Source organism: Homo sapiens, chromosome 16 (genome assembly GCF_000001405.40).
Source record: "Homo sapiens chromosome 16, GRCh38.p14 Primary Assembly".
NCBI classification, from domain to species: Eukaryota; Metazoa; Chordata; class Mammalia; order Primates; family Hominidae; genus Homo; species Homo sapiens.
Window position 1 is genome coordinate 58,850,389 of NC_000016.10, and position 23,096 is coordinate 58,873,484.

The 23,096-nt window shown below is 39.8% G+C and overlaps 2 long non-coding RNA genes across 3 annotated transcripts in view, besides 1 other annotated feature; one reads left to right on the forward strand and one right to left on the reverse strand.

The window, feature by feature from the left end:
- LOC107984867 (uncharacterized) overlaps window positions 1–13,318 on the forward strand; it is a 114,037-nt gene extending 100,719 nt beyond the window's left edge. Inside the window, exon 3 of the long non-coding RNA XR_001752227.2 lies at window positions 11,647–13,318. This is a non-coding gene — a long non-coding RNA (uncharacterized LOC107984867). The remainder of the gene's footprint in view (window positions 1–11,646) is intronic.
- LOC105371296 (uncharacterized) overlaps window positions 1–23,096 on the reverse strand; it is a 32,515-nt gene that overhangs the window by 2,583 nt on the left and 6,836 nt on the right. The window lies entirely within an intron of this gene.
- Window positions 12,238–12,921: an enhancer, noted in NCBI's record as "OCT4-NANOG-H3K27ac hESC enhancer chr16:58896530-58897213 (GRCh37/hg19 assembly coordinates)". NCBI's record gives its function as "activates a minimal SCP1, AML or CMV promoter by ChIP-STARR-seq in naive and primed H9 embryonic stem cells {active_cell/tissue: H9 hESC(naive and primed)}" and the evidence as "EXISTENCE:reporter gene assay evidence [ECO:0000049][PMID:30033119]".

Genomic DNA, 23,096 nt, shown 5'->3' on the forward strand with positions numbered 1-23,096 from the left:
ACTATGTTATGTCTGTTTTTAGGTCTGCTTGTTCAAATGACTAAGCAGATTTTCCCAATTAAACCATCATTTACAACCCTGCTCATCCCAAACGTGTAAATAAGCTTCCTTTGGGTTTGTCTGACAGGCATTTGCTTTGCATCATCATTGGTGTTTTGACAACATTACCAGAGATGGAAACAATTCTGCCATACGCCCAAATTCTTCAAAACGCCTTTTTCCTTCCTTTATCTTTGATTCATTGGTGTAAATAAATAAAACCTGCCATACTGTGTCCTGTTTATCCTCTCTCTTTTCCTTTCCAATTCAAGAATTTAATTTGAAAATGGTTATTTTTAGCCCTGTTCTCAACTTGCTTGCTGAGAACAAGCTTATCCTCCATCCCTACCATGCTGCTGATTGCAGATAATGCAGCTGGCTTCAGGGTGGCAGGCACGATCCGAAAATATTACAGATAAGATTGATGGAAAAGTGGGTTGCGGTTGATAGAGACCCCTCTGAGGCCTAGGAAGCCTCAGAGCTTGCTTTTTAGGGTGAAGTTTGCATCTCCATGGGTAGGGGGAAAAAGCAGCTATTATAAACTGTCCCTCTTGGGTATTCTTGAGACTAAGGGGTGAGCTGAGCAGCCATGACTTAAGAAAATTGTTGACTCTAGGGTCAGAGAAAGGGCTATTTTTGAAACGATGTAGGAGAAAAGAGTCAGGAGGTGGACCAGATCCAGAGGTGGTTCAAGATGAAGCTTTCAGTTAAAGTATAAGCTGGCCAAGGTGGGAGGATTAGCCTAGGCAACATAGCTAGACCCTGTCTCTACAATAAAATATATGTTAAAAAGTTAAAATATAAACAGCACTTCAAATCTGATAACCTGTAGGCCACAAGTGGCCTGTAGACATGTTTCGTTTGGTTGCACAGTGTCTTTCTTTAAACAGGTATTTTTTTTTGTTGTTATTAAATTATAAATTCAATGTTCAATTATGTATTTAACATGAAATTGAATATTACATATTCATTAGATGATACATATTCAAATATGTATGTACACACTTACCATACACCAAGAACTGCTTTAAACTCTTCATAAATATCAAATAATTTATATCTCATAGTAGCCTTGAGAGTTAGGTTCCAACATTGTTCCCACTTTACAGATGAGGAAATAGAGGCAAAGAGGGGTTAAATAGTTGTGCCATGTCATATATCTTGTACATGATACTAAAATAGTGACAGATTTTTACATATAAAACTAAAACTCAATATTTCTGACTTCCCTTGAATATTTGGGAGTTCTGGTGAATATTGGGCTCTCAATCCTTAGGGCAACAAATATCCCTATTAGAAAGGACATGCATGCTCTAGTTTGTCAGATTCTTCACATATTCCTATTTGTGATCGGTTGACTTTAAACATTTCTATTATTTTTCCATACTCCTGTAGGTATTTAAGAAAATAACATGTGGGATAGAACCATAGTTTTCAAGTCAAGGAGGTAAAGCTTAGCAAAGAAAGGGATTGGAAAATGGCCATGGGAGATGGAGGAAGTCCTGAGAAACTGCTTAGAGTACAGTGGTCTCCGGCATCCTGCCACCCACCTGGGAAGTGACTATAGTCACTTTTCTATTCAGCAATATGTAGTAGATGACTGAAACTGAGCTGAATGCAGAGGACACACCTCTAGGTGAAAGTCGAGCAAAACTTCAAGTCTCATGGAAGAAAGTGCTGGATAATCTCTGCCCACTCTGTACATTACAAAGAGGAGGGAATGCTGGTCAGGCACGGTGGCTCACGCCTGAAATCCCAGCATTTTGGGAAGCTCAGGCAGGTAGATCTCTTGAGCCCAAGAGTTCGCGATCAGCCTCGGCAACTCTCATCTCCAAAAAAATACAAAACTTAGCCAGGCGTGGTGCATGCGCTTGTGGTCCCAGCTACTTTGGAGGCTGAGGTGGGAGGATCGCTGGAGCCTGGGAAGTCTACACTGCTGTGAGCTGTGATCATGCCATTGCACTCCAGCCTGGTCGACAGAGTGAAACTGTTTTAAAAAAAAAAGAGGGGACGTTGAAAGTGGCCACTCTGAGATGGCGACTTTTATTCTAAGGTCATGAGTAGAAGTTAGCCAGGTGGTGGAAGTTAGCCACATGGGGATAGGTCACCACTTATGGCCACGGAGATTATGCCCTGAAAACATAGCTTTCCTGACAGAGCATTAAGAATACAGAGCAGCAGTTGCAAATGCTGGAGAGAGCGCAGCAGGCAGAGGAAAGGAACAGAAGATGTGTGTTTGCTGAGAGGGACCTGGAACAGGTTGGGGAGGACACACTAGCTGCCTCTACTGGTTGAGGCATTGGCTTCTGAGTATCAATTTTTGTTTTTTAATGTGATGATTAAAAAAAAGTGTTGGCTTCATAGTTTTGCTGTAAAACTTACTTTGGGCAATACAGATAAAGTGCTTACAGGGAACATGATGCGTTGCAAACACTCATCAATATGGCTATTAAACTTAGTATAAAAACTTGTACTACGTTTTTATTTTATAGTTTTTGGTATTGATAATGATAATGATGAGATTGATAGTATTTAAAACATTATTGTTATTAGAAATTCCACTTTGTGCCATGAAAACAAAAAATTTATGAGTTTCCATAAATGCACCATATGAAGATCCCAGTAGTAGAGCCATGGATGAAATAATGTACAATAAAGTGACCCTTAGGTGATGGGACATTGGGAAGCAGCAGATAAAATGAAAAAGCAAACCAAACAGAACAACAGCAACAAAAATCCACTCAAAAATGCTTTGACAAGATTTCTTTCTGCTGTGGAAATATATTTTATATATTTTCATATGAACTAAACCATCCGGGTTCCAATTTCTCCATATCCATGACCTTTGTAATTGATTGGAGAAGTAAAGAGAGACAATTCAGGTTTGAAAAGGTGATGGTTAGTTTCTTTCTCATATCCAAAGTTAAGCTAGACTCTGAAGTTCAAATCCTCATTATAATCCTCTTTATAGCACTTACAATTCAGAAACAACTTATTTGTTTGTGCAGATAGTCCAGCTCTGCATCGGTGTGCTTGTCCTAAAGGAAAACGAAGTGAGAGCTTCCTGCTAGAACAGCCCCACAGTCCTGCCAGCAGTTGTCATCTGGATCTGTCATATTTTGCCTCTATTAACATCTGATGTCACTGATCTCACAAAAGATGGAGAACTGATGTCCTTCCCGCTGTTGTGTATTCTCTCACCCTCACTTTCTATCAGTTTTTCCTTTCAGAAGACATAAGAGGATGATGAGCTACAGGAAACAAACCGAGTCTTATACACCTAAAATTGGGTTCAGGTGCCTTTGTTTCTTGCTTGCCCTCTCAAATAGTTGAAAGCTACAGGCTCAGCTAGGATGGCATGTTCCAATGTGGGAACTCAGGGGAAATTTCTGGCTTTTTCCTTTCTCTTCTCAGCATTCATTAGTCCCACTAATAACAGCTTCTGGAGACTCATTTAGGAAGCACAGCATCTCCTCTCTTGGACCAAGAGGTGACACACCTTCAGCTCAGGGGTGTGTGAATGACCAGCCTGGCCATCAGTTGATCCAATCCCTGGTGCGACAGCATTTTCTTCAGGAATGGGCACATGCCCTAGTTAATCCAATCAGAGCTAATACTTTGACTGTTACCGGGGAGATTGGAAGGAAGTTGGCAGTCCTTTGTGCTGCTTTTATAGTTTAAAGATGAAAGACGGGAGCTTCCAGAGACCACATGGAGAGCTCCTGTTTGAGTATGAAATGTACACAGATGAAAGTGGAGCCAGGGCATGGGGAAAGAAAGAGAGGCAGAGAGATAGAGATCCATAGACAGGTGGACAGATAGAGAGGGATAAGCTTAAAACCAACTCTCCTACTAGCCTTTTTCCATTACATGATTGAACAATTCCCCTGTTTTACTTATGTTACTTTGAGTTGAATCTTCATTAATTTGCAATTCTAAGAGTTATGACTAATAAATGTGTGCTCACAGCCATCTGGGTCCCAAGCCAAGTCTCGCCTTGCCTCTGAAGTCAGTTTGTTAATTCAGAAGGAGGAAGACAGTGAGGAAGAGAGCTGTGAAGCCAGGTGACCCAGAAATAGAGACAGTCACAAACATTCAAGTAGAGGGGCTGTGCTAACTTGGAGTTGGTTCTGAGCCATTGGGTGTGACAAATGGTATGAAGTGTGAATTTAAAGAGATGAAGTAAAAGGTTGCAACTCTTGACAATGACACTTTGTGGCTGGAAAGCCCCCATATGACAGCTGAAGTCACACTTCCTGAGGTCGTGTGAAAGATGATCAGCTTCTAGTTCTGCTCCTATCAAGCTGTGTATCCTAGTCTTCATTTCCCGTGTTCTTAGGATGTTACCAATAAAAGCATTGGTATTTTAAAATATCAATATTTATTGGTATTTTATAAATACTGGTATACCAATATTTATAAATACTGGTATACCAATATTTATTTTTTATTAATACAAGCACATGAATCTCTCTCTTTGGCTTGGGGGTAGAAGGAGGAGGATCACTGGCAGCGACAAAGTTAGGCACTTATACATTACCGTTTCTCAGGAGTGCTGTGATTTTAGGTGCTTTCAGGTACAGCCCTATGAAACTCCCATTTACAATGATGTTGCAAGATAGGGTAGCGTTTTGTAGATGATTTTAAGGGGCTTGGAGGAAGCTCACTTCTACACCCCATCATGTATTTTGAGACAAGCCTCATGGCACCTCTTCTGCTTTCCCTTCTCAAGCTAAATAATGTAAGTTACTCCCAATAATCATATGATTTTTATTTCACCAAATTTCTTGAATGCAGTAACTAATCTTATTTAAAGGTGCACCCCCAGATTCTAGCACAGTTCCTAGCACATATCAATAACAGGTGTTTAATACATTTTTGGGATTGGGATTAATTTCCTCATTATATCATCTTTGTTTATATGTATTTTTGGTCACTCTGATTCTCCTTCTGCAAGATGCTGCTTTTTATTCCAAACTCCACTCAGTTCTTCCTTGTGTCTCTGCACTTCTCCTACAAGTAAAGAGAGTGAGTGAGTTCTGGTTTCCTATGAAAAGAGGAACTCAGTCATGGTGGCCAGAGCCAATTGATTCCTAATTAAACGAAGCATAGAATTGAGCTGGGATGCATTTGTTCTGATTCAAAAGCCACCTTTCCTCCCCGCCTGATGATTGTGTCTCTTTCAGTGTCAGCACAATGTGGGCAGGGAGGAACTCTCTCTGCTCTGCTCCACTCCACACAGAGATAAAGAGAGATATAAGCACAGAATGCTTTGTGATGAAGCGGAAGCCACTTGTTAAAGCAAGGGGAGAATCGACAATAATAGGAGACTGTCCAAATGGAAAGGATGGGATCACAGGCAGTCATTCTTTTAGTAGCAGAAACTTTTTCACTCCCCAAGACGCAGGAAAGAAGCCAGCAGAGGTGATTAAGCCAGCGATTGGGATGAAGAGCAGTCAGAGATAGTCGGTGTGCAGAAACGACTCAGCAGGCTCGCTGAGCTGGAGCTCAACCTGTGGCTGTGTGAACCAACCCAGACACTTCATCACCGGGAATCTGCCAAGAACCAGGGCTTTAATTTATTTGTGGCAGTGGACACTGATCATCGGATATCCCGCTTAGACCCACTCATTCATGCCCTCCACAAGTATGTATGGAGCTCCCTCTACATGCCAGACTGCTTGTTAGATAGTAAGGATTCATAGGTAATTAAGTCTCTTTCACTAAAGGAGCTCCTGTTTTAGTGGGGGAAATTATAAATGACACCATAGTAAGCTCTTCACAACCACTAGCTGTTATTTTCATGTACTGGGGACCCAGGCAAGAATTCATTAGTGATTATTTCATTTGACACTAGGAAGTAAATTCTGTTTTTCTCTCTGCTTTACTGATGCGAAGAAACATGATCAGCATTGCCCAAAAATCAGTTGCAAAGCTAGGGTTTGGAGCCATGTATTTAAGAAGCAAGCACAAAGTACTGTAAGAACACAGGAGTGAATGTCTCACCTTTTTGGGGTGGGGGCCATTCAGAGAAGTGTTACCAAATAGGTATTCTTTGATTTGGGTCTTAAGGTATCATTAAAAGTTCACCTGGCAGACAAAGGGCATTTCAGTATTTGTAATATGTGAGTTGGACTGACCATAAGAGGTATTTCTGGTTTCATTTGTGAAGCCCAGTGAAGCAATAACCTTCGTTGAAAAGTCTATTTTGATAACCTGGTTTCTATTTAGTTTTATGGCTTTAAGCAATATAATTTTGGCTTCATTGCGATGTTGTCATTTTACTGACTTTCATAGCAAGAGGTGAAGGGTTAAGAGAAGGTTAGAAGGGACAGTGGGTTTGTAAAGGGATATGGGGTCAACTCCCAGAATCAGACACAGGATTTAGAGCAAGGATAGCAAAGCCATCATGGAAGTTGAGCCCACAGTGATGATCTCAAGCGGGTTTAGAGTGTGAACACCTGGCTTTATCATCTACCTGATATGGGGTACATGAGTTTGTCCATTTGACTTAAAAGAGTTGGTTCCAGAAGACAGAAATGATGTAAGGTCATTTAATTTGCCTTGGTGTGGAGTCATTTAAATGGTCTCCTGAGCTCCATTTCTGCTCTTCTCAAATCAGTACTTCCATCAGTAACAAAATTAAAATTATAAAAAATAATTTTTGCAAGTTACTCCTTTGCTTAAAAATCCTGTAGTATTCAGAATAAAATTCCCAACCATCAGTAGAGCATATAAAGCTTCTGTTTGACTCTTCAGTTTTAGCTGTTTTGTAAGCTAGAGCCTCCCCTCTTCTCCATCCCCAATGCTAGGCCCCAGTCTTTTCACATCTTGGGATATTATTGCTCTCCCATGCTGACACATACCTCCTTCATCTAGCCAACTCCTCTTTCCCTAGGGATCTCATATTAAACATCCCCTTTTTAGGAAGGCCTCTCTGATCCCTTAAAAGACTGGGCAAAGGTTGCCTTGTCTCTATTTTCGTTTCTTTTTTTTTTCTTTTTGAGACGGAGTCTCACTGTCACCCCCGCTGGAGTGCAGTGGTGCAATCTTGGCTCACTGCAACCTCTGTCTCCCAGGTTCCAGCAATTCCCCTGTTTCAGCCTCCTGAGTAGCTGGGATTACAGGTGCGCACCACCGCGCCCGGCTATTTTTGTATTTTTAGTAGAGACAGGGTATCACCATGTTGGCCAGGCTGGTCTCAAACTCCTGACCTCAAGTGATCTGCCTGCCTCAGCCTCCCAAAGTGCTGGGATTACAGGCGTTCCTTGCCTCTATCTTCCATAGAACCTGTTTTAACACTTACCATGCAGTCCTGGAAGTGACTGTGTGTGTCTCCTTTGCAGCCTGTGAGCACCAGAGCATTTTTGATCATTTTGAACAGGAGGTATTCAATAAATATTCTATGACTAAATTAATGGGCAAATGAAAAGATGAGAACAACTTCATTTTAAGTTTTATGGAAAAATTTGTCCAGGTTTCTAGAATGCGATTTTGGTTGTGTGTGTTATATAATAATATGTTTGGTTTGAGTTGTGTCAGGGTATAGCTCCTTGCTTTTCAATCATCTTCCCCAGTAGAATCACTGGGTAAAGAGGATCTTTACTGTGATAACAAATAAAAATGATAATTTTTAAAAATATAGAAGAGCCCCTTTTAATTTTTTATTTTGAAATAACTTCAAAATGACAGAAAAGTTGGAAGAATAATACAAAAAATTCCAGATATTGTTCACCCAGGTATTCCAAATGTTAACATTTTGTCACATTGGCTTTCTTTTTCTATATATACATGGTTTTTCTTCGAAAACATTTGAAAATAATTCAAGCTACTTAAATTTACAAGAAAAAAACAACCCCATTAAAAAGTGGGCAAAGGACATGAACAGACACTTCTCAAAAGAAGACATACTTGCAGCCAACAATCATATGGAAAAAAGCCCCAAATCACTAATTATTAGAGAAATGCAAATCAAAACCACAGTGAGATACCATTTCACACCAGTCAGAATGGCTATTATCAAAAAGTCAAAAAATAAAAGATGCTGATGAGGTTGTGGAGAAAAAGGAATGCCTTTACACTGTTGGTGGGAGTGTAAATTAGTTCAACCATTGTGGAAGACAGTGTGGTGATTCCTCAAAGACCTAGACAGAAATACCATTTGACCTAGCAATCTCATTACTGAGTACATACCTAAAAGAATATAAATCATTCTATTATAAAGACACATGCATATGTATGTTCATTGCAGAACTATTCACAATAACAAAGACATGGAATCAAATGCCCATCATTGATAGACTGGATAAAGAAAATATGGTACATATACACCATGGAGTACTATGCAGCCACAAAAAAGAACAGAGGATGTCCTTTGTAGGGACATGGATGGAGATGGAGGCCATTATTCTTAGCAAACTATTGCAGGAACAGAAAACCAAATACTGCATGTTCTCACAAGTGGGAGCTAAATGATGAGAACACATGGACACATAGAGGGGAACAACACACACTGGGGCCTACTGGAGGGCAGAGAATAGGAAGAAGGGGAGAATCAGGAAAAATGACTAATGGATACTAGGCTCAATACCTAGGTGATGAAATAATCTGTACAACAAATCCCTATGACACATGTTTATCTATGTAACCTGTACATCCTGCACATGTACTCCTGAACTTTTAAAATAAATGTTAAAAAATTTCCAGCTATGATGTCCCTTTAACCTCAAATACTTTGGTATGTATCTTTGAAAATAAAGACATTCTCTTACATAAATAGAGCCCAATGATCAAAATCAGGAGATTAATAATATTGACAAAATGCTGTTATCTAATCTGTAGATCTTATTTCAAGTCAAAGTTACTTTATAAGAAGGATTCAGTATTTAAAGAAGCATTTGGTCTGTCCTGTGTCTTCATGCTTAGCTAATTGAGACATCTTTGAATTGGAAGCTTGCCAGGACGGGATCAAGAGTCAAGAAAGGAGGGATTGAGATTTTCCTGTTAGGACACAAAGGACTGAGACAGGATGCAGCCAGGATCCTTTGTGAAAATAGATTGAAAAAGACAGAGTTAAAGATGGAGATGGAGGGAGAGAAAGAGCGAAGAGAAAGGGAGGGGAGAATGAGAATGAAATCTGAGTGAGACTTCAGATGTCCATGTGAGGACAGACACTTAGACCTACTCTGCTCTGTTCAGCTTCCAAAGTCCCTGGTCCCTCTTCCCTGGATTGTGAGAAAGCTATGCTACATGCCAGATTGGGCTCTTTTTGGTGAATAAACCAGTGTGTTTTTCACACACACTCACACCCCATTAGATGACCTTTAAAAGACATTATTTTAAAGAAACTATGCAAAGTTTTGCCCTCTCCTGCTTATACTAGTTTGCGTTTTCAAATAATTCTCCTTTCCATGCTTTAATTTTACTTCTCTCCCAATAGATGACAGCTAAATGCAAATAAATATATTGGTTTTTCCAAACACAAACTGACCCTCTTTTCACAGTATACATATATTAAAAAGAAAAAGCAGGTTGAAAACACCTAATGAATTGAACCTGTTCCTTCCCATTCGATGTTTAGGAATGGCTGAAATTTAGCTATCCAGGGCCACTGTGTCAGGGGTTGCTGGGACCTGGTTGTTCTTCACTTCTCATTTTTCATCACAGTGATCATGCTTTCTGCTTTTTGTCCGTTCTTATCAGACACACCACCGCAGACCACACTGGAAATGGGAAGCAGGCAGCCCTGTCTGGTTTGACTTAGATATCCTGAGGGCTGCACTCACCCTTACCTTCGCTGTATCAGTGAAAGCTTTTTTTGGGCATGACTAGTCTAAGACCTGGAATATGAGAACAAGACATTGAGAAATTTGTGTTTTTTATCCAGAGAGCAGTAATTTGTTTATGCATTCTACAATTATTCCCAATTCTCAGCAATGTGATCTTAATCTGTTTAGGAACAGAACACAATTAGCTATAACCTAGATCTAACAGAGGTAAGTCTAACCTCTCAAAAAACGAAGGATTTGGCAGCCAAAATTAGTAATAAGTCACAATCAGCATTTTGGTCTTTGATGATATTCCCTGGTTCAATGATTACACCTTTGTTCCAGCAGATAATATTGGGGCACTAATTAAATGAGATAATTTTTAGCTTAAAAAGATCTTAAAGATGGCATACTCCAATCTCTTCCTGATGTTTTCGCAAATGTGCCTCAGTTTACTCATCTGTGGCTGTCAGTCCTGAACTTAGGGAGGAGTTCGGTGTTCAGTGGAAGGTGTCCACTTTAGCATGCATATGGGAATGATTATTTTCCGTAACCTTCCAAGCACAGAAGAGATTCTAAATACAAGATGTCCTGTGAGTTAGAAGTAGAGATTATTGGCAAAGACAAAGAATGGCAATGGACTGGGAAATGGATCCAGAATCCTGATCTCCAGTAGTTCTCCACCTAGTTTCACTGTGAGGGTCATTGCTCAGATGACCTAGAGATGCTGAAATTCTCTTTTGCTTTGGGATCAAGACCACAAGGAGAGTTTTTATTATAACTCTTCTCTTCTGGTAATAATGAAAATGAAATATTAAGAGCTCTTCATTACAAGCCTTAGGGAAGTAAGCAAATATGTTACAACTTTCTAAAATATGTCCTGATTAAATATCTCATTTCTCCACTTTCATAATTGGGAAATAATAGACCAACTGATTGTGCTAAATGGATTTCAGCAAGCCTCACTGTCTTGTTCCATCAGGAGGGAATACTTATTTCTCCATCGTGTCATCTTTTTTCTACAAACGATAACTCATTCCTACTATTCAAAGCAAATCTCTTAAAAAAATCTAACAAAGCTCTATTTCTGGATTATATAAGAGTATTTATATATGTCTGTATAGATATAAACATGATCATAGATCTGCATTGGCCCATACTGTTGAAAGCAATTTTTCTGGTTAAGGAGATCAAGGAACTTTTTTGTATTTTTTTGTTTTGTCTTTTTTGGTAAGATAAGTGCATTTTTACGAACAAACAAAAACAAACATCATAAAAAATTTAGTACTAATTCATGAGTTGCTAACATAATGTTGTGGTTTGTTTTAAACTCCCAAATACCTCCTATACCTTGTACCTGGGAAGAGGAATTCAGTTAAATTCAACAAATAAGGATGGAGTATACACTATATGCCAAACATCGTGCTGAGATCTGGATATATAAAGATGAGATAAGACTCTACAGGCAAGACTTTTGTGTGCTTATTTGTCTTATTGTTTCATGCAGTAATAGTAAAGATATAGATCAGGTTTTGGAGATATAGAAATCATCTTTATTTGGAACAATGAGGGAAGATCTCTCAGAATAGCCTGAACAGGTTTTTGAAGGATGAGTAAAAGTTTACTATCCAAAGATAGTGAAGGAAGTCATTCCAGAAGGTGGGAACAGTATGGGCAAAGCAAAGAAAGTTTAGTACTGCATCATGTGTAAGGGCAAATAACAGTATTTGTGGATTGTTGTAGTATAAAGGAGTGAGACAGCATGAGGGTTAATGATCAGTATGGCTCAGAATATGAAGATCCATGAAGATCAATTAAAAACTTGCCCTTTATCTTCTAGGAAATTGGCAACTGATGAAGGGAAGTGTATCAGTCCGTTTTCATGCTGCTGATAAAGACACACCCGAGACTGGGAAGAAAAAGAGGTTTAATGGACTTACACTTCGACATGGCTGGGGAGGCCTCACAATCGTGGTAGAAGGCAAGGAGGAGCAAGTCACATCTTACGTGGATGGTGGTGGGCAAAAGAGAGAGAGCTTGTGCAGGGGAACTCCTCTTTTTAAAAGTATCAGATCTCGTGAGATTTATTCACTATTATGACAACAGCAGAAGACAGACCTGCCCCCATGATTCAATTACCTCCCACTGAGTGCCTCCCTCAACATGTGGGAATTACGAGTTATACTTCAAGATGATTTGGGTGGGGACACACAGCCAAACCATATTAGGGAGCAGGAAAAAGAAACAAAAACAGCAACTAATAACTCCCAAGACCACAGCTTCGCTCCTGTCTAGAGCTTTGCTACTTAGCCACAGGAACACGGGTGATCATACCTCAACAGAAGTCTGCCAGCATTCATTACGACCAGTGCTTAATCTCATCTGACAATATCAATGTCAAAATCAGAGCTTGGAGCTGGCGGTGTTTCAGCAGAGGAGTCTTTGGAGCTTCCACGAACTGGTTCAATAAACAATCTTGCTGTGAAACACAGAGCTTGGTATTTAGAAGGGTTTTAGCTGGCATATCCACAAAGCTGCAGCATCCTGTCCACTGCTAATTCCACTGTGAAATGTTGAAATACAGCTCTTAGCTCCGAGAAAGCATGTAGGCTTCTATTTGCATGCAAATCATTGCCATTCATGTGTGAACTACAGCAGGTAACAGCTCTGCCAGATGGAATAATTTGGGGTAAGGCCATCCTCTTTGTTAAAGGCCACAGGTATCCATGCATGCTGCAGTGTAGCTCATTCCTACTTTCCACGTCACCCCCTGGGGAATAATCATTTTAATGATGGGCCTCAAGGAAAGGAAACGCCATTCTACCCTGTCATCATTTAGTAAACAAAATGGTGCCAATTAGTGTAATGCTGACCTAATGTAATATTTGATGCAATTAGTAAATTGAGAGGGATAAAAAGGAACATGGTAAATTGATAGATCAAGAAAACTCCCTTGGATTTTGAAAAAGTACAGATTGCATGCATGTTTCAAGGAAAACCACTGTGGTCTCACCCCAGGTGGCAGTGCCTTGTAGTGGTTAGGAGTGTGTGTCTCTAGAATCGGAATGCTTGTGTCTCAATCGCAGCTCTACCTCTTACTAACCAGAAGACTTTGAATAAAACTCACACTTCCTAAGTGTCAACTTCATCATCTGTAAAGTGAAGATAGTAGTAGACAATTGAACTTAATCCTCTCCTGGTCATATGAGGTAGGTCTGATTTAAGTAGTTGAGCAGCCTGCCTGATACATGTAAAGCTTAACAATAACTATAAATAATCATAATTACAATGAATAAAATAGCCATAGAAGCTAGTTGCATTAAATTTATTTGTAATAAATGTAGTAGCTAATGCTGTACTTGATCAATTCACAGAGCTGATTTCTCCAATAAATAGGAAGCTCCTAAGTATAGAGACCATGTCTTCTCTTCTTGTCATCAGTGGTTTGCTCACCATCTAACACTTAGGATGTATTCAACAAATGGTTATTAAATGCACAGGTTTTAAAATTAGTAGCATTTTTTGTGTTATTTATTCCTTTACCTCCTCCTTCTTCATATCTCTTTCTCCTCTGTCATCATCATCATCATCATCATTTTTTATCCTCTCTATTTCCAAAGACATGGGGATAAGATTTGTCCCAGCAGGATTCATGCTGGTTACATGGAAAGCAACACTGTTGATATTCAAATGTCCCCTAAGGCTACCTACCTCCTTATGAATCTTTGGTATCTTTCGTTTGAATCTCCAGGCATACTCTTTATCTTTTCCCAAGCCTGCTCTATGCATTAATTTTATGGACTCCATTAATTAGTTTGCTTATCTTTTAGTTTCCTGTTGGATTAAGCCAGTGAGAACCCAGAAGGGTAAGGAGAGAGTTAGGGCAGGTTTCTGTCTTCTGGGTCTAACTGTTTGCCTTTGTTTTTCTCTCTGTGGCTACAGCTTCCACTAGGCAACTTTCTCTTATAGCTTTAGTGTTCCTCTTTGGATTCTGGTATGTACTTCTTTTCCTTGCCATTCCCTTATTGGTTTTCCATCACCCTGCCCACTCTTTAGTAAATGTCCCTTTCATTAGTTTCTCCCCTAGGTTGCTCACCTTGAGTATGTCATCTGTTACCCATCAGGACCTTGACTGATACAGGGTTCTAGAGCATATAAACTTCAATGGTCTGCCACCAAGTCTGTGTGATATCTAGTTCCCACTTGCCACGTGGCAGGACCTTAGCAGCAGAAAGGGACATTTTCTTGCCTTTACAGTGATCACTAAGTGACGAGAAGAAGAGCAGGTGTCTCCTACATAATTGCTGCAGAACCGTTGTTTCTCAGGTCCAGCTGTTTTTGTCTCTTTTATGCTATCTGTCTCCAAATCTCTGATATGTTGCTAATATACTGCTTAGGCCACCTATGAGATATCCATGAGGTCCATTATGGTGGATAATTAGATTTTAGGGTCAGAAATCCTGAAATCAAAGCCTTTCCCAAATTGCCTATCAGTCAGAACTCAAAAGGATTCTAGGACTCATTTAAAAATTCAACTTTTTTTTTTTTGCCATAGAGACAGGGAGGAGTTGCTCAACTAACATGTTGGCAACTACAGACAGCTCTTTTGTCATCTGTTGGATAAGGGAGACACTTAATCAAACACCTAAAACAAAACATGCTTGTTATTTACAAAGAGATATGTAAAAGCAAATATCAAATGTTTGCACAAACTTTTTATAAAAGGACCACAACTTGAGAACCCCAGAATAATGTCCAGAGATGCCTGTGACTTCCATTTGAAACCATACTCACTTGGCCGGGCGTGGTGGCTCACGCCTGTAATCCCAGCACTTTGGGAGGCCGAGGCGGGTGGATCACGAGGTCAGGAGATCGAGACCATCCTGGCTAACACAGTGAAACCCCGTCTCTACTAAAAAACACAAAAAAATTAGCCGGGCGTGGTGGCAGGCGCCTGTAGTCCCAGCTGCGCGGGAGGCTGAGGCAGGAGAATGGCGTGAACCCGGGAGGCGGAGCTTGCAGTGAGCCGAGATCGCGCCACTGCACTCCAGCCTGGGCGACAGAGCGAGACTCCATCTCAAAAAAAAAAAAAAAAAAAAAAACCATACTCACTTAAGAAAACTAGAACTTTATCCTATGAAAATTTATTTGAATGGAGACTCATCCACCCAAGAGAAAGCTTCTGTTTTAAAACTGGTAAATTTTATTTGTAGATTATCAGCAAAATAAAAACATAACGTTGAAATAGGAGTCTCAGAGACAGTATGGGTTCCTGAATATACATTCTTATGTCACAGTTTGGGAAATACTTACATAAATAAACTATAGTGATACAAGAGAAATTCATCCCATTTGAAGATTCACAAAGAAGGTGATGTTTAATTTGAGTCTCTTAAGGATGAGGGGAGATGGTGAAGGGATAAATATGGTGAGAAGAGGCAACAGCAGTTGCTCATAACAGCAACCGTTTTTTGAGAATATATGAAGTGTCATGGCAATAACTTATCTGCCTGCCCATATTTGAGGGCATGGCATATTTTAGAAAGTGTGGAAAGTCCAGTATGGCTGGGCTGTAGTGTGCATTATTGGAAAGCCACTGGAGAGGAGGATGAAATAAGAGATTAACTTTGAAGGCGCTTGAATGTAAAGGAGTTAGGACCAGTCTAAGTCAGTGTTTTTCAAGCTCATTCTGTCTCTCTCTTGCAGTGAAACCTTTTATTGAAAAAGTCTCATTCAGAAGACAAATGTGTAACAAAGAAAATGGGGTTCACTTCCAGTGGAAGATGCGGAGATGGGCAGGAGCTTCCTAGAGTTTAATAAGCACAGTCTGAAAGCCTGCTCTGGGTAGTGGGAAATCATCAGATTTGTGTTTAGGAAAGATTACCACAGCTCCATGGAGAAAGAAAGAAGACCAAATTGTCTAGTGCAGTAATAGAAGGGAGAGGTGATGAGGGCTGGCATGAAAGCTACAGTGGCTGGCTGCAGTGGCTCACACCTGTACTCCTAGTACTTTGGGAGGCCAGGGTGGGAGGATTGCTTGAGCTTAGGAGTTCAAGACCAGCTTGGGCAACATAAGACCTCATCTCTACAAAAAATAAAAAAATTAGTCGGACATAGTGGTGCACTAATTTTGCTGGCGAGGAAGGCACTGACAGATTTACATCCTGATGAGGAAGGCACCAGCTACTCAGAGGTTTCAGCTACTCGAGAGACCGAGGTGGGAGGATCGCTTGAGCCTGGGAGGTGGAGGCTGCAGTGAGCTGTGATCATGCTACTGCACTCCAGCCTGGGTGACAGAACTGAGATCCTGCCTCAGGAAAAAAAAAAAAAGCTATGATGATGAAAATAAAGAGGGACAGATGCATAGTCAGGCCTGAGGTAGAATCAGTATGTGATAATATGATAATGTGACTTCTTAACAGGTGTAAGGGAAGTAGGAGCACCAAGAATGTCTGGGGCTTTCTAATAGGCTTAGATTGATTAGGAAGTTCTAGGCATCACTAGGAAACAAACCAAAGAAGACTGTCTCCCTTGTTTCAGAGCATTGGTCTATCATGCTGGACATATAGAGGGCAGTCCTCAAAAAGGCACTTGGGAAGAGAAGCAGAACAACCTGTTTCTGGAATAACATCTGGAATAGAACGGGGTCCCATTTCCCCATTAACCAAGAATAAATCCCAAAAACAAGAACTCAGGATGGAGCGCTCTGAAATCCCCATGGTTTGGAAAGGGTGTGGAGGACATGCTCAAGTTTACTGTATTTAGTTTAGGTGGTGAAAGAAGATCTCTTAGTAGATGACATCTGGGGGAAAAATCTGAAATAAAGGGAGGAAGCCAACCTGATTCAGAAAAATCGCATTCCAGGTAGAGAAAAAGGCAAGCATAAAGGCTGTATTCCTGCATATTTCAGGAGCAGCAGGAAAGCAAGTGTACCTATAATGGAGTTTCCAGGAACCTGCAGGTAGTCTAGGTGGAGGCAACAAAGGTGATAAGTGTGATAACTAGGCAGAGGTCAAATCATACCAAACCCTGACGGCCAGGGGCAAGGAATAGGTAATACGGTAAACTTGGTATTTGGTAAATTTGGGTTTTGTGTAAGGTGACTTTGGAAAAGGACAGGCATAGTTTGAAACATGAAGGATCAATTTTAGAGTGAATGACAAAAAAGATATGACTTCCCCAAACTGGTGTACAGATTCAGGAATTTACCAAAGCCCACGTATATCAACTGAAAAAGATTCAGGAGGTTAATGGACACCAGATAGTTAAGGGGATTTACTAAAGGAACAAAAAATATATCACCATCATCTGTTCTCCCAGAGACATCAAACATACACATATTGCTTGTCTTCGATAGCATAGGCAGCTCACTTACAAACCACCTCTTCAGAGTGTCTTAGCAGCACGTTCCCTCAACTAATTGGCGTTCCTCTCATCTAACACATCAGCAAAATCTATTGGCTCTATCTTCAAAATGTCTTCTGAGTCTATAGGCTAGTTTCGTTTCTTTTCTTTCTTTTTTTTTTTTTTTTTGAGATGGAGTCTCGCTCTGTCACCCAGGCTAGAGTGCAGTGGCGTGATCTCAGCTCACTGCAAACTCTGCCTCCCTGGGTTCAAGCGATTCTTGTGCCTCAGCCTCCTGAGTGGCTGGGATTACAGGCATTCGCCACCTCGCCTATAATATTTTTTTTTTTTTTGGTATTTTTAGTAGAGACGGGGGTCTCACTATGTTTGTCAGGCTGGTCTTGAACTCCTGACCTCAAGTGATCTGCCCGCTTCGGCCTCCCAAAGAGCTGAGATTACAGGTGTGAGCCACTGCGCCCAGCCTATAGGCTAGTTTCTATCCCTCCTGTTCTCATTTCCATATTTTCCTGGCCCAATAAAATGGCTTCCATATTTCACTCTTTATTTTACCTTTACCTTGCACCCAGTAAAATCTATTTTCCAAAAAACAGCTAGAGCGATCTTTCAAAATGTGAATCTGATCCTGTTATTCACTTTTGCAAAACCTTCAGTGCCGTCCTGTTCCTTGCCCCTGTCCTTCAGAGCTTGGTATGATTTGACCTCTGCCTGGTTATCACTCCTATCACCTTTGCTGCCTCCACCTAGAATACCTGCAGGTTCCTGGTAACTCCATTCTAGCTACACTTGCTTTCCTGCTGCTTCTGACATATGCAGGAGTAGAGCCTTTATGCTTGCTTTTTTCTCTACCTGAAATGTGATTTTTCTGAATCAGGTTGGCTTCCTCCCTTACTTATTTCAGATTTTCCCCCCAGATGTCATCTACTAAGAGATCTTCTTTCACTTCCTAAACTAAAATAGCTGTATCCCCTATTCCCATCTCCAAGTTATCCTTAACCCTTTCATGTTTTTCTGTAATACTTATGTCTCCTGGAAAATATATTACATTTGCATTCATTTGCCTCCTTATGAGTGCCTTCCTCATGAGCATGTAAATCTTTGAGGGTAGTACTTTAGTTTTTATTGGTCATTGTTAAATTGCTAAGACCTCATACAGTGTCTGGCACATAGTGCACAATATTTTTTTTTTTTTAGTGTATCTTGATGCATAAATCAGATGGCTGCCTTCCTTTCCCCTTGGATATTTCTTCTCCTGGCTCTTATGTGTAATCTGCTGGCTATCCAACCCGTGCCACATCAGAAACCTCTTGCTTGTCTCGGGTAATGATTTTTCCAGTACTGAGGGGAATGTCACATTTGCCATGTGGTTGGAGCATCTGAAAGGACTGATTTATTTTGCAGAATCTCATGAAATCTGGGTGATTTAGGTGTGAAATAATGGCATACATAATTATGTGAAAAAAATCAGATACCATTATATAGAGTAGTAGCAGATACCAAAATGTTTAAGAATAACTTATAAACAGAAAGGAAACTTAAGTCTGTGAAAATTCTGTCCAGTGACTTATTAGGGGTTTTAGTAAGCATTTGAAGAAAAGGGTCAATTACTCTATTACAGTTTTAGAACTTCTTAGATAATTTTCTTGGGGTAACAATTAACTTGTCAGTCATAATTGTCAGCTTTCAATGAGCAGCGATTATTGCTCCCAAGTTTTGTGGGTTGAGGGGGAGTGGGGCTCCTCCAAAGGTGGTTAATGCTATCTTTAAGAGTGCACATTCTGCCGGGTGCGGTGGCTCACACCTGTAATCCCAGCACTTTGGGAGGCCGAGGCAGGCAGACCACGAGGTCAAGATATTGAGACCATCCTGACCAACATGGTGAAACCCCGTCTCTACTAAAAATACAAAGATTAGCTGAGCGTGGTGGCACACGCCTGTAGTCCCAGCTACTCGGGAGGCTGAGGCAGGAGAATCTCTTGAACCCAGGAGGCGGAAATTGCAGTGAGCCGAGATCGAGCCACTGCACTCCAGCCTGGTGACAGAGTGAGACTGTCTGGGGGGAGGGGGTGCCGGGGGTGGGGTAAGAAAAGAAAAAAAGAAAAAAAAAAACAAAGAGTGCACACTCTTTCTTGTCTTTCCTGTTTACTGCTGCTTGGATAGTTTTGAGCATGGTAATATGAGAATTATTGTCAAAGGCATTAGAGCCCAAAAGGAGTCAGGAGGATTTTTTTTTCCCTAATGATAAACTTTTTGAACCATTATCCAGCTAATTTGAAACACTTCAAGAAATGATTCACTTACGATTCCCCTTGTATGAATATTCTGCAATATCTAATAGAAGTGTCAAGGAAAATTTTTTTCTATGATCTAAAGCTTAAGCTATTTTTTTTTCCTTAATTTCGCCCCATTAGTCTTACTTTCATCTTGTTCGTGTTAAAAATTTACTCTCCATTTTCAGCCTTGCGCACTTCGGATGTGTTTCTGGAATTAGTGACCTGGATTAAGTTCTTCTGTCTCTCTCTTGACTTGGCTGCTTCCTTTCCTGTTTCTCTTCTTGGGGCTTTCTCGGGTTTAATTTCATATTTTGGGAGTTAAAGTGCTCATTCCTGAGTCCAGCAACCCTTCTCGAGGCAGGGATGGATCAAAGCCTGCTTCATTTCAGATGTAGCCAACATTTGCTGGGCTTCCAGTCACGGTAGGCATCATGCCTATTGCTTTTTGCACACATTGTCTCATTTCATCACCATAAAGGCAGCCCTGTGAGGTGGGTATTATTTTTCTCATTTTAGAGGTGAAAAAATTGGATCAGATGAGATACCCGAGTTTGAATCTCAGATCTGTCTTATTGACTCCAAATTCTGCTCTATCATAGGGCAGTAAGCCAAAGAAATTCTTTTTGGCTGCCATTTAACATTATAAGCTAAGATTTAATTGACTTTTCACTCTAACTCCTGGGTCACTTTTAGAAATGGTGCTTTGGAGGAAGAAACGTCTTAGCAGATGATGTCATAAATGTTACTTTTTCCCAAATGATTCATGGAAGCAGAAATTATAATATAAATTACAAAATATTTATAAGTAAGCAATAAAAACATTTGATATTATAAAAAAAATTTTTCCCTATCAGCTTCTTCCCGAATACCACTCCCCATACATCCTGGTTTCAACTCTGGCTTTCCATGTTGCATTATAGGTTATTCATTTGTGTCTAGATATCTTTCTTCTGTGAGTTTCCTTTGATAATTTAGCGATCTTTATCAGTGTTTGCCATGTCTCATTTGTGAATTTCATTAACAAGCTATTTGCTGCCTCTTTCAGACCATTAATGAAGATGCTAAATGAAACTCAGTCCATCAATCCCTATGCCACCCTGCTGGAAAACTAGGTACTCAGAGGTTTATGATTATTCCTTGTTCGTGACTCTTGAGCCAGTTCCCAAATCAACTGAGAGTACTTATAGCCAAGCCAATTTCAATTAATCTGCCAGGAGAATTTCATGAGCAAAAGCAGCACCTGCTTCTCTAAAACTAAGATGGATCACTTGCATTCACTTAACCTACTAAAATTAAAGTTGTGTCCAAGTAGCAATTATGAGACATTACTCTAGTGATAGTCAATCTTTTTTTGAATTTCTGTTTACCTCATATTTTCTGTGACCAAGAGTTGTTTCTTAAATATGTCTAATTTTCAGTTCTACATTTGAAAATCAATATGATTATTTATGTTCTTTATCTTCATAATTTAAAAGAGGCTTGTGTTAGTGTTATTTGTTTCTTTCTCTACCACAGCTAATAATTTTTCTGCCGCAGTTTATACTAGAAAAAATTCTTATGATCAGCATTGTGTAATAAAAAAACATGCAGGCTTTGGATTTAGTAGATTTAGGTTTAAAATCTCTGCTTCCCCGCTTTCTAGCTATCTGACTTTGGACATATAATAACTTCTCTGTGCCTGTAAAAAGCCTCAAAATAATGTCTATAGCATAAGAAAATCTATAAAAATAATAAAAACCATAGGAACAGTAATTTCTACCTTTCCAGTTTTCAGAATGAAGATGAAGATTAGCATTGATGGGATGTAATAAGTAGTCAACAAAAGGGAGCCATTATTGAATTGAATTTTTCTTCCTCCTTTGCAATGACTCCTGGCCTACTTACATATTAATATAATTATGTTCCATGAATTAATTTAAAAGGTAGTGAGAAGTCCAGTAAAAACCAAGAAAGTCTAATATGAAAAAAATCAACCTTGCTAAGAAATTAATGAATTTTTATTTTATTTTATTCATTTTATTTTATTTTTTGAGACAGAGTCTTACTCTGTTGTCCAGGTTGAACTGCAGTGGCATGATCTCGGATCACTGCCATCTCCGCCTCCTGGGTTCAAGAGATTGTCCTGCCTCATCCTCCTGAGTAGCTGGGACTACAGGCACATGCCACCATGCCCAGCTAATTTTTGTATTTTTTTTAGTAGAGATGCCATGTTGGCCAGGCTGGTTCTGAACTCCCAACCTCAGGTGAGCTGCCTGCCTCGGTCTCCCAAAGTGCTGGGATTATAGGTGTGAGTGACTGTGCCCGGCCTGAATTTTATTTTATTTTATTTTTAATTTCAACTTTTATTTTAGATTCAGGGGATACATGTGCAAGTTTGTTATACTGGTATGTTGTGTGATGCTGAGGTTTGGGGTTTGATTAATCCCATCACCCAGGTAGTGAGCTTAGTACCAGTACATAGTTTTTCAGGCTCTGTCCTTCTCCCTCTCTGCCCCCTTTTGGAGTCTCCACTGTCTATTGCTCTTGTCTTTGTGTCCACATGTATCCAATGTTTAGCTCTCATTTATAAGTGAGAACATGTGGCATTTGGTTTTCTCTTTCTGCATTAATTTGCTTAGGATAATGGCCTCCAGCTGCATCCGTGTTGCTGCAAAGGACAAGGTTCTTTTTTATGGTTGCATAGTATTTCATGATGTATATGTACCATATTTTCTTTATTTAATTCACCATCGATGGGCACCTAGGTTGATTCTGTCTTTGCTATTGTGAATAGTCTGCAACAAACATATAAGGGCATGTGTCTTTTTGGTAGTACAATGTATTTTCCTTTGGCTATATGCCCAAGTGATAGGATTGATGGCTTGAATGGTAGTTCTGTTCTAAGTTCTTTGAAGAATTGCCACACTGCTTTGCTTTCCGCAGTGGCTGAATTAATTTACATTCTCAGCAACAGTGTATAAGTGTTCCCTTTTCTCCACAGCCTCATCAGCATCTACTATTTTTTGATGTTTTATTAGTAGCCATTCTGACTGGTGTAGGATGGTATCTCATTGTGGTTTTGATTTGCATTTCTCTGATTCTTAGTGATGTGGAGTAGTTTTTCATGTTTGTTGGCCACTTGCATATCTTCTTTTGAGAAGTGTATGTTTCATGTTCTTTGCTCACTTTTTGTTTTTTATTTATCTTTATTATTTTTTTTCACTGTTTTTTGAAACTTTATTAGATCAAACTTTTAGACTACCTTATTGACTAATGTTTAACAAGTTGTATTTTAGTGTATTATTCTACTTGTTTTTTATTTTTATTTTATTTATTTTATTATTATTATACTTTAAGTTCTAGGGTACATGTGCACAATGTGCAGGTTTGTTACATATGTATACATGTGCCATGTTGGTGTGCTGCACCCATTAACTCGTCATTTACATTAGGTATACCTCCTAATGCTATCCCTCTCCCCTCCCCCAACCCCATGACAGGCCCCCGTGTGTGGTGTTCCCCACCCTGTGTCCAAGTGTTTTCATTGTTCAATTCCCACCTATGAGTGAGAACATGCGGTGTTTGGTTTTCTGTCCTTGTGATAGTTTGCTGAGAATGATGGTTTCCAGCTTCATCTATGTCCCTACAAAGGACATGAACCCATCCTTTTTTATGG